The 12211-nt window shown below is 47.7% G+C and overlaps 1 protein-coding gene across 14 annotated transcripts in view; it reads left to right on the forward strand.

The window, feature by feature from the left end:
• Positions 1-12211, forward strand: part of ABLIM3 (actin binding LIM protein family member 3) — a 119050-nt gene that overhangs the window by 66625 nt on the left and 40214 nt on the right. For all 14 annotated transcript variants that reach the window (NM_014945.5, NM_001301018.3, NM_001345858.2 and 11 more), the window contains 2 exons: positions 2609-2702; positions 8842-8929. In NM_014945.5, the coding sequence (NP_055760.1) occupies positions 2609-2702; positions 8842-8929 (182 nt within the window). The remainder of the gene's footprint in view (positions 1-2608; positions 2703-8841; positions 8930-12211) is intronic.

The raw sequence follows: 12211 nt of genomic DNA on the forward strand, positions 1-12211 counted from the left end.
ACACCAGGAAATGTGTGATCAGGAGCCCAGACAAGCTTTATTCTTTAAGACCTTTTTGATCCTAAGTGACAGAAAACCCACCTCCAACTCAATTAAAAGCAAAAATAGGAGTTTATTAACTCACAGAAATGGGAAGGCCAGAGGCACACTGGCTTCAGACATGGAGGAATCCAGGGGCTTAAGGATGTCATTAGTACTTCAGAAGTCTCTGTCTTTCTCTATCTATCTTTTTGTCTCTCTCTCTCTCTCTCTCTCTCTCTCTCTCTCTCAATTTCTCTTTCTCTCTCTCTGTCTCTCTTTCTCTCTCTCTGTCTCTCTCTGTCTCTGTCCCTGTCTTTCTCTGCTGTCTTCATGGTGGATTAGTTCTCAATCTGGCCCTCCCCAAGTGCTAGCAAAGAAGATTGCCAACACTCCAGGCTTCCATACCAAGCCTAGCAGAAAAAGAGGCCTCTTTCCCAGGAACTCCAGCAAAAGTCCCAGGTCTGCCTCTGATTTGGCCACTGTTAGGCCACATGCCCATTCCTGACCAATCACTGGCCCAGAGGATCTGAACCCTAGAGCCAGAGAGCAGCCTCTTGTGACCCACAGGGACCTCAACTGGGAAGGGGTGGCTTCCAAAGGGAAATCCAGGCGAGGTACTATTATCAGCAGAAGGGGAAATGGATGCTGGCCAAACAACACCTGCCTGTGTCCAAGATAACAAATAAAGGGCTGTGAATATTCAGAGAAAAAAAGGATGACTGCTAACTAGCATGAAGTAGAATCTTGAATCTCTGAGAGTTCCATGGAAGGTGGGGGTAAGATTCAAAAATGCAAAGAAGAAGAGCTTCTAGGCAGAATGGCCAGCCTGGGCAAGGCCAGGGCAGTAGGGGAGTGTTGGACATCTCCATCCTGTATAGGAGCTCAAACATGTGCCCAGGTGAAGCCAGATCCTGGGCTGCATAGGTGAGCTGAGGTCACATCACCGAGAGCTCTCGATGCCATGCTAGCAGGAGTTTGGCATTCCCCTCTATGCCCACCAAGCAAGGAGTGCCCTTAGTACATTGCCAGCCAGGAGTGCTTGAGTCTGGAAGCCTAAATCAGAGTTCTCTAGGGACTTAAGGGATTGTTCAGAGCTCCTCTCAAGGAGGCCCAGCCCAGATTGCCCACCACACCTGGTACCTCTGCAGCATAGCTCTGGGCCCCTTACCTGGCTGCTGGCAGAGTGGCAGGGGCTCAGAGGCACTGGCTCAGGCATCAGATGCCCAGGATAGAAGCGCAGCCTATGTGACCTTGGCAAGGGACTCCACTGCTCAGAGTCTCAGTTTCCTCATTTATAAAAATGGAGAGAAGATGATCTACCTGTAGGGTTGTGTAAGGGCTCAGAGATCTGTGCTTAGCACCCAATAACTGCCCAGTAAATACTCATTTTACCATCCTCTTTTAGAATTGTGTACCGCTAATTCCCCAAGAGAAGGATGGATCCAAAAGAGATTGTGTTGGCATTTATACTCAAATCTTGTTGGCTCATCACATCCACCTTCTGACAAATGACTTTTTCTCCCTGCAGAGCTACCCTCCCGCACCCACAGAGTGAGAACCTGATTGAGCGGGGGAGGAGGGAGGAGTTGAAAGGGTTGGGGGAGGTGTGTCTCAGGGGCTCACAAACAAGTCCTTGCCTTGTGGGCACAGTCACACCTCCAGACCTTGGTCGGACATCTTCAGACCTTGGTCCTCACTGCTGCTTCTCCAGGAAAATGCTGCCCAGGGTGGGCCCCCAGCAACCTCATCAGGGCAACAGCTTCGAGATGGAAAAGTGATGTGCCTCTCCTTTAGGTCTCTCAGTGTCTGAGCCAAGTTCTCTTACACCCAAAAGTGAAAGAAATGTTTCTCCTCAGAGTTCAGACTTGGTCATTAGAGCGAGGCAGAGCCCGAAGCAAAGCTAAGCTCTCCGATGCCCCCAACTATCTCTACCTCAGTCCTAGAGAACTGAGAACCAAATGTCCTCCTCAAAGACTCCTCTCAGCAATCATGGCCATTCCTCCAGCTGCCATTTGCTGAGTACTCAGTATGGCTAGGCACTGTCCTGAGCCCTAGGGTACACTGGACCCATCTCCTTTAATCCTCATGACAACCTGGGTGAGAAACCAGACAACCTGGGTTTGAATTCCAGCTCTAGGTCATCCTGGGTGGCCTGGGACAAGTTACTAAAGTGTGCTATGCTTAGGTTTTCTCACCTACACAATGGGGATACTAATAATTCTGACTCATAGGGTTGCCATCAAACACCATCAAAGAGCCCGGCGCACACCAGCAACAAATGTTAGTGGCTATTAGTCATAGGGGGTGGTATAAGAATAAGGGATAACAATCTTATCACTGTCCGCCAAGTGATAAACATTGGGTAAAAAATGGAGCACACAGGAGGTGGTCCCAGGAGGCTTCCTGTCATCTACTGATCTGGGAGCACAGTCAGATGATTCTTTCATACAGATGAAATTGTTTATTAAAGGAGAAGTATCGAACTTTGGCTCAGTCAACATAGGCTGCAGGTCCAGAATCTAAATGCCATGTGCACCCTCACTGATCCTCCCTAACTTCCTCATCCTATGTGAACTTCTTCTTGCAGGGATGGTGTTCCATACTGTGAGTCCGACTACCATGCCCAGTTTGGCATTAAATGTGAGACTTGTGACCGATACATCAGTGGCAGAGTCTTGGAGGTGAGTGGGTATAAGTAACCGTGAAGATGTGGCAGGGTGATCTGTGCCTCCAAAAAGTCATCACAGAAGAAGGAGAAAGTCATCCCATACCTTTTTTTCCATAGCCTTTACCTCCTCCACCTTTGCTTGCTACATGACCTTGAGCAGATAACCTTGCTGAGATCTCTGGGAAACCCCAAAATGAGAAGGTAGACAAAATTCTTCCTGGTTCAAAAAATGCTGTGCTGGGAAAATCAGTTGTATCTTTGATTCGGACCCAGACAGATTTCTAAAGAGTGACATTAGGATTTTCCTCCCAGCCCTGCCGGAGAAAGGAAGTCTTTTTTATTTATTTATTTATTTATTTATTTAATTATTTATTTTGTTTGTTTGTTTGTTTTAGTATTTGGTAATGTGCTGATTTAAGAGCCAGCTTGTCTAGCAGCTTGCTCCCTAAGCCCTTCTTTGGTGGGTCCATCACCATGGCAACGCCTCTCCCCAGCCTTTGATGTATGACTCCTTCTGCAGTGACAGACAACCTGCAAAACCCTTGCTGAGGCCTTGCTGAGCCCCTGTGCACTGGTCTTTCCGGCCTTTCTTCCTATACCCTGTGGGCCTGGAAGCTATCTTCCTATACTTTGGGACCACCCACCTTGATGAATTAGAAACAGGGAAGGGCTCAGTGGAAAGGAAAAATAATAGCCTAACAGGAATAATTGAGTTCTAGTATTGACTCTACTCCTGCTCAGATTTTGAGTAAGTATCTTTGCTTTTCTAGGCCTCAGTTTTTCCATATGACAATAGCTAGAGGATCAGATTGGATCAGGTATTGTCAGCAGAATCATTAATTCTGCCAAATCTGGCCAGTTGGTTGTGGTTACCATGAGTGCTTTGTTGAGAACAAGTCTGCAGCCACATGTAGACTCAGCAGGAGGGGATGTAGCAACCAGGAAGGAACTCTCTGAGGACATGCATTGAAGCAGAGCCCTGAGGATGAAAGAACTATCCCTGAAGGGCCCTGAGGTGGGAAAAGATAGAGGAAGAATGAGCTTGACCCATTCAAAGAACAGAGAACCCACACAGAATTGTGGCTGCAGAATTTTTCTCAACACAAGCACTCATGGTAACCACAACCAAGTGGCCAGATTTGGCTGAATTAATGATTCTGCTCACAATAGCTGACCCAGTCTGCCAATGTGGCTGAATTCTATAAATTGAGGGTAGGGGAGGATGAAATATAAGAGTATATCATATATGGCATACCATGTAGGACTTTGTAGACCATGTTTAGAAGTTTGGGTTTTATACTCAGTGCAATGGAAAGCCATTGGAGAGTTTTAAGCCAAGGACTAACATGATAAGATCATGTTTTTAAAAAGATTTCTGTGGTTACTGTGTGGAGAATTTTCAGAGAGAGTCAGAGACAATGAGATATAAACAAATGAGCAGAGCTGGGAAACATTTAAGCATCTCGAGAGCTGTAAGGAGTGCGATGCAGAGGACAAGGCATGAGTCCAGGAAGGGTTGTTGGGGGTGGGTTTCTGAGGGCCTGGGATACCAGGGTGGAGTTTGCATGTGACTCACTGGGCAAGGGAGCATTGTGGAGAGACTGGGAAGGAACGTCCTGGTTAGAGCTGGGCTTCTGGGAGGATGACGTGATAATGTACACAGGCTACATTTGAAGGAAGGAAGCTGGAAGGGATGAGTGAGGAGGCCCCTGCGTGACCCAGGCAGGAAGGACTCAAGAGGTACAGTAGCAATGGAGAGGGAAGCCACCCTTGTGCCCAGCCCTATGGAAGTAGAATTCCAATCACTCTGCAACTGAGGGGCAGCTTGTGGACATGGGGATTGAAGGAGAAGCAGCTAAAAGTTGCACCAAAGAATTATCTATTTCTGAGGGATAGGAAGCCTGGTGTCATTGGCAGAACTGGGGATGACAGGGGAAAAAGCTGATCTGGCAGAAACATGGCGAGTACCATTTAGGATGAGTTGTGATTGAAATCCCAGGAGTGTTTCCAGAAGGCAGTCAGAAATACGGATCAGAGGCTGGGAGTGGTGGCTCACACCTGTAATCCCAGCACTTTGGGATGCCAACACAGGGTGATCACTTGAGTCCAGGAGTTCAAGATCAGCCTAGGCAACACAGTGAGACTTCATCTCTATAAAAAATAAACAAAACTAGCCAGGCATGGTGGTGCACGCTTGTAGTCCTAGCCATTCCGGAGGATCACTTGAGCCTGAGAGGTGGAGGTTGCAATAAGTTGAGATTGCACCACTACACTCCCGCCTGGACAACAGAGCAAGATCCTGTCCGAGGCAAGAAAAATGAGAAAAGAAAAGAAATATGGATCAGAGCTCAGGAACAAAGCTCAGGCCTGGAGGAGCCAATCTTAAAAACGTGAGGCTTTGAATAATAGCACCACCAGAGTCCTCAGGATTTCCAAGACAGAGGAAAGAGAGCAAGGAAGGAGGCTGACACCAACCTTGGCGAGCAGCTGCTCACAGTGAAAGCGACTCAGAAAGAGACTGAGGAGGTAGCAGAGGAAGATATGGGAAGAGAATCGGGCATTCAGTGAAAGGACAGAGCTTCAGAAAACATGGTGAGGTCAGAGTGTTGGTCAAACTCTGTAGAGCAGTGAAGGACTGCGTGGGCTGCGGAAAAGCTGTTGGATGTGGGAAAGGTCACCTTCAGAAGAGTCGTTTGTTGGCTTTGCAGAACTGTGGGGAAGAGGCATCCAGAGTGTAGTAGGTTGAAGGGTCAATGCGGTGGGAGATATTACAAAAGGAAACTTTTCTTTCCAGAAAGAAAGAACTTAGATTACAGACAGGGCCACAGATGGAAATTTGTTCAGCATTTCCAAGCTGCTTTGAAATCCTGTTGGTGGCAGCTGCCGTTTCCCCGAGAGTTACCGTTGTTTAGCATTGCGGTAGACTGTTCCTCCCAGGCAGCTGTTGTGACTGAGTTTCGATTGATCCCATTTCTACAAGGCTCCATTAGCATCTTCGACTTATTGATTTTTTTTTTTTCTTAGAGCTGGAAGAGACTTTTAGCAATCAACTAGTTCAACCTCTTCATTTTACAGATGAGAAAAGTGAGACCAAGACATGCAGTGTTTTTCCAAGGTCACAAGCAGCATTTCTGGTAGAGACAGAGCTAAAATCTAGGACTCCAGGCTGCTGTATCTACCGATACCCACAGCTCTCAGCCACTTGGGGGTCTTTGAGGTAGCATGATGTCAGGAAATAGACATGGCTGCAGTAAAACAGACTTGGATTCAGATTTTACCACTTCTAGCCCTGAAGCCTTAAGCAAGATATGTCCTCTTAGTCTGTATCTATCAACAGACAATACTACTGTCATTTAATTCCTAATGAACACGTTAGTCAAGACTTTTTGGGCTGCAACAGAGAGGAAGTTTCTCAGCTCCTATAACAAAAAGCCCAGGAGCTGGATCCAGTGCTTAAGCGAAATCATTTAGAATCCCCAGCCATCTTGGCTTACTTTCTTCCAAGTTAAGTTTATTCTCAGGAGGGCGTTCTTGGTGATGGGAAAGTTGGACACCAGTTGCCCCAGGCTTAGATTCTATCAGCCGGCACGCCCGGTGGAAAAAAGAACTTCTCTTTTCTAATAGCTCAGCAAGCATTCTGGGACTGACTCTCATTGGACAATCTCAGGCCCATCCCTGGGCCACTAATTGTGCCCACAAAGTTGGAATATGCTCATTGGTGGGGTCAGCACTACTTAACCCTGTGGACTGATATGGAGAAGAGGTAGCCCCACCAAGGAAAGGCTTGGGACTGTTTCTGGAAGAAGGAGGAAAGAATGATGGCCATGCAGGAACAACAGTCGCCCAAGCACATCGTCTGGCACACTGCAGGCATTCAATTAAGTTGTTTCTCCTTCTCTTCTCATCCTGTCCCTTCCCATTTCCTCCCTAGGCCACCCCATGGTCCCTTCCTCAGTGACAGAGCTCAATGGCTGTCAGTGTCACTCCTTCCATCCCTGTCTGTTTCCTCACCAAAAAGGACCACAACCTGGTTTGCTTGTTGCTACATTTTTGAACCTGGTTTGCTGTTTTCGGTCCTCTCAAATAGGGCTCTGTTTTGAGGGTACCAATTTTTTGCCATTTTTCTTTACTATTTTCCTGATTTCAGTTCGTTAATAGACAAAATGGTTCATCTCAGCTAGCTGACGTGGCTTTTCCTTACTCTGGGTGCAGGCTGCCCTACCTCCCTTTGCTCAAACTGTTTTCAACACCATCCAAGACTGGGGCTGCTGAGATGGGCACAAAGCCTCTTTCAGCTGGGGTGAGGTAGTGGGGCATGACATTTAGGAAAATGCTAGGCTTCAGTTTTGCCAAGGCACTGTTGCCACACTGGAAAACAGGTCTATAATCAAAATGATAAAGAGACACAGAGTAGGAAGAGGCTGCTAATTAAACTGATTATCCTTGTCATGGTACAAGGGAATCAGTCCCACACATTCCAGCTTAGGAAAATAGCAGGCTCCTTCCAAAGTTTGAACATATTCGCTTTGATGATGACAAGGACACTGTCTCATTGGTGCGAGGCCATATAAACAAACGGGGGGAAAAAGGAATATTGGAGATTTTTTTCTTTTTGTAAAAATCTGCCTTTCCCACATTCTTGCTAAGTTTTTAGAATAGAGATAATATCTCCAGAATAGGCAAGCCCATCCCAACAATCTTCCACTCCCCCCACATAAAAAAAAAAAGAAAAAAAAAACTAAGTTTGGAAATAGGTCTTCTTATTATGCAATTATAATTTTTGAATTGGAAGGAACCCATTAGCATCAGATCAAGTGATGGCTTGGACAGGGACCTTTAAGAACCCCTAACATCCATCAGTTTCCCCTGGGCATTACCCTCCCCCAAAGAAAACCCTGCCCTGACGTTGCAAAATATTTCTTCAAACAAGGCCCACCTGCCAACCCAATTGCTGCACCAAGCTCCTGCATATACAAATGCTGGAGCCGCCGCTGAAGTTCCCTTTTACAAGCCCTCTTGGCTGGGATTTTGGTGTTAGAATTGTGACTCCAGAAGCAAGTGCTGAGCTGGTGACTGACTCACACACATCCGGACCCAACACTGCTGCTGGCTTGCAGTGAACCCTTGAGGCACAACCTTCTCAGGGGCTGTTTCTTCCCCCCATGGAAGTCTTTGCAGCTGCAAATTATTTTCATTTTTAATTTAAATAGTGATGGGGAAGGAAAGTGAAAATAGGGAAGGCACTCACCAAAGTCACACTGGGGTGAGCTGCGGTAGGGCTGGACACACCAGGGCAAAATAGTCACAGGACTGGCCTGGGGATCTGGGGCTCTACAGTGGGTCCTAAATCACCCACTGAGCCCTAAAAATCTGTCCTTTGTGTGCCAGTCTCACAATTTTTGCCATGTCTGTGAACCTCGTGAGCTGATTCTTCCATAATACTTTAAGTGTCTTGAGGTTGGCTCCCTTATATGTAAGGAAACTTATATACGACATAACAGGAAAGCAGTATCACTTGCCATATTGCATGTAACCTGAAAATAAATAGAGTTCTAGCTAGATTCTATTGCATGTGGAGGTTCCAAGCCTCACACCTGTTCTCATTCTTTAAAAGGCAGATTTGTAGGTTTTGGATAGATGTTAAAGACACATAAGCACCGAACTGGTACTTCGTCCTTGACAAAATCAGAAGAATGTATAGAGGACTGAAAAGATCTTTTTTTTTTTTCCATTGGTCCAATGTTATTAAATCCCAAGTTCATGTACCACTTAAAATCATTTCATGTAACATTAGTGGTAAGGGCCTCTCACTTGGGGAAATGCTGGGATGTCCTCAAAGCAAGCCTGTTTCCTCCTCTGGAAATGAGGAAGTTGGACCAGTGGCCTCTCAAGTGTCCTTCCCAGTGTCAGAATAGAAGAGCAGGTATTCAGGGAAGTCCCCTGAACTGCCATCAGGGATCCATGGAGTGAATCACGAAGCTTCCCGGCTGGTCTTTTAGATGGTTGTGGACTCCCTTGGGTAGCTCCAACCAACTTTAGGGCCATGAAGATGCAAACAACACTAATGTACCCAGGAAAGATTCAAACCCAATCTGCCCCACTAGACAGCAGCCCTGGCTCTGACCTCCTGTTTCATCTTTTCATTTCCATAGGCAGGAGGGAAGCACTACCACCCAACCTGTGCCAGGTGTGTACGCTGCCACCAGATGTTCACCGAAGGAGAGGAAATGTACCTCACAGGTAAGTAAATCTGACCCTCTGTAAGGCCTTCCGACCTGCTCATGACTGGAAAGGAGATGCGATCTTCAGGTTCAGTGTTATCTTGGCTTCAGGTTCAGTGTTATCTTGGCTTTTGCCTTGTCCTCAGAATTGCAATTAATTGGCCCCTCTCTGGGTGGATTGGGAAGGTTGCCGGTGTGGCTAATATGAAGTGACATGTAATCTGCCTTCCGTCTCTGTGCACCTCCACCCGCTGCCCAGCTGGACTGCTTCCCTGGCAGTGCTCTGAGCAGACTCTCCTGGCTCTGCCTTGGGGGTGGGAAGCTGAGCTGCACAGGCCCAAGGGGTCAGAGAACCTCAGAGGGATGCCTGGGTTGCAAAGTGTCTATAGCATCACAGCCTCTACTCTACCTCCTTCTCCCCACATCTCAGAGCATCATGCCAGGCTGCTGCTCAGGGCTTCCCAGGGACTCTCAGAACACACAGAGGAATGAGGAGTGCCAGTCGTCCCCACAAAGCTAACCAGGGCTGCTTTCCATCTGCTGCTTCCCAGCCCTCTTACCCCAGGATTCTTACAACAGTCCCCTAATTAGTCTCCAGATTCTGCTCAGTCCTCTACCCTCTGCCCAGCCCACCATCCCAGGGCATCACGTGCTCTTGGCACTGCCCTGCTCTTCAGAGCCCCTCCCTGTCTGCCTATTTAGCTACAAACACTTCAGCCTAGCATTTAAAATCTTGCCAAGGTCCCAGGCTTCCTTTGTAGCCTTGAACATACCCGACACCTAAGCTACCAAAGCTAACTTTTGATCATTTATTCATCCACTCAATGATTGTTTCTTGAGCCCTGCCATGTGTAGGCTCTGTGCCAGCGTCCATGGTGAGGCTCACCCAGCCCTACAGTCCCCTGAAGGAGATGGGCATTAATCCATAATCACATAAATAAACATCAGCTGTGGTAAGTGTTATGAAGGAGAGAAGTGTGGGCCTTTGAGAGCACATAACGGGGTAGGAGGAGCCCCAGGAGGGCTCCCTGACGAAGGGCCAGGAGCTGAGATCCAGACCATGAGTGGGTGTTAACTGATGTTGTAGTTCATCTGGGCTGTTATAACCTCAGCAGACTGAGATACAGACAGGGCAGCTTATAAGCAGAAATCTATTTCTCACAGTTCTGGAAGCTGGGAAGTCCATGACCAAGGGTCCAATAGATTTGGTATCTGATGTGGACCCACTTTCTCAGAGATGGCACCTTCTCTCTGTGTCTCCACATGGTGGAAGGGGCAAGGCAGCTCTCTGGCGCCTCTTTTATAAGGACACTGGTCCATGACCTAATCACCTCCCAAATAGCCCTACCTCCTAAGACCATCACCTTGGGGGTTCGAATTTTGGCATATGGATGTGGGGGACACAAAAACATCCAGACCATAGCAACTGAACAAAAAGTGGAATAGGATGCACCAAAATGAGAGGACAGAGCCTGCAAGACTCTGAGGTGGGTGAAGAAATGGCGAGTGCATAAGGGCAAGTGGAGCCTGTGTGGCCAGGGCGCAGACAGAAGTGAGATGCAGCCAGGAGGCAAGCAGGGTGTATGGGCTGGGCCTTGTGGAGAGACTTTGTTTGGACTTAAAATGAACTCATGGCCCTTTCCCTTGTCTTCCTGTGCCCTTCTTTGGAAATCCTATCATTTGAGGCCCAGTTCAGTCACTACATGCTTCATAGGCACCCAGGATTTCCCCAACCCCACCCACAATTTAACACAGTCCTCTCTTCCCCCATCCCCACAGCCCTCTGTCTGCCCCTGGTCCCCTCCAGCTTGTATGAGAGTTGTTGGCCTCCTCCCTAAGGTCCTGTGCTCCTGGCACTTGTCCCTCAGCCCTGACCCTGGCCCATGCATACTCCCTCCACAGGTGAATGTCATTGGTGGAATCGCTGTGATTGGATAGCCATCTTGAGAAGGAATTAGGGCCCTTCCTCCAGGTAGATCTAAGGCCAGGGCAGCAGTTACAGGGAGTGTGTCAGTATCAGCTTGTCCTAGCCACAATGCCCACAGCCATGAGTTCCCTCAAGATGCAATGAGTCCCCCTGTGCCTACAGCTGAGTTCCTTAGCCTCAGCACTGGTGACACTGTGGGCTGTCCTGTGCATTGTAGGGTATTTGGTACCATCCTTGGTCTCTACCCATTAGATGCCAACCACGTGCTTCTTCCCACTGACAATCAAAAATGTCTCAGATATTGCCACATGTCCCTAGGGGGTCAAAATCATCCTCAGTGGAGAACCACTGGCCCAGAGCTACCCAACAGAAACTTGTGCCATCTGCTAAGAATCCTGGAGCAGGAATTCCTATGTTGGATTAAACAAAGTGACCATTTCTAAGATGCTGTCTACTTACTTATATGAACTGATGCTGGAGTGGTAAGGATCCCAGAGTCACTCTAAACTGTAAAGTGCCAACCCTCATTGTAGAGATGGGGAAAATAGACCCAGAGAAAAGAAGAGACTTGTGTGAGAATGGGAGTGCGTCAGGGCAGAGCAGGGCCTGGCCTTGCGTCTCCCCTCCAGGGTTCTTTCCACTTTACCCCTGGGACCCAGGCCCTGCCTGATATTCAGGTCCCTGTCCCTTCCTGTGCACACCAATCCCTCATTGCCTGGGTTCTTGAGTGATTCCTGCTGCAGGAACCAGTGTTATGAGGCTCAGCAACCTGCACCCTGCCTTCATCCTGACCACCATGGGAACCTGGAGTTTGCACTTGGCTTGAAAATTTGTTGCACAATATTCCTCTCCTCCTTCCCTGGTGAACAAACCTCCTAGTATTGAAACTGCCCTCCCATTCTCATCCCTACCTGGATATCACTAGAATAAACCACGTCTTTGCCTCCCTGCCTGAATTCCTAATCTTAATCTTTCCCTGTTGGGTGCTTTCACCCAGAGTGCCTCAGGGGGGATCCTGGCTCCACTGATTACTAAGTTTTTGACCTTGGGCAAGTCTCGTAACTCTCTGAAACTTGGCTGTCTAATATGTAAAATAGACCGAGAACAGTTGCTATAAGATATAGGTGTAGTAATTTCGTGACACATGGGAAGCTCCCATTTCAATCATTCATTTAGCAAATATCTATTGAGGATCTACTGTGTCCCCGCTGCTGTTCTCACAACTGAAGGTGTGGCAGTGAGCAAATCAGTCAAAGGCCCTGCCCTCATGGAGCTCACAGCCTCACAGGTTAGTGCTTTCATTCTTCCAACTTCCCACAGGTGCTAAAAGAGTTAAGCAAGGAAGTAAAGTGCATAGCTTTGTGATCCTGAGAG

The sequence above is a fragment of the Homo sapiens genome, chromosome 5 (genome assembly GCF_000001405.40).
Source record: "Homo sapiens chromosome 5, GRCh38.p14 Primary Assembly".
NCBI classification, from domain to species: domain Eukaryota; kingdom Metazoa; phylum Chordata; class Mammalia; order Primates; family Hominidae; genus Homo; species Homo sapiens.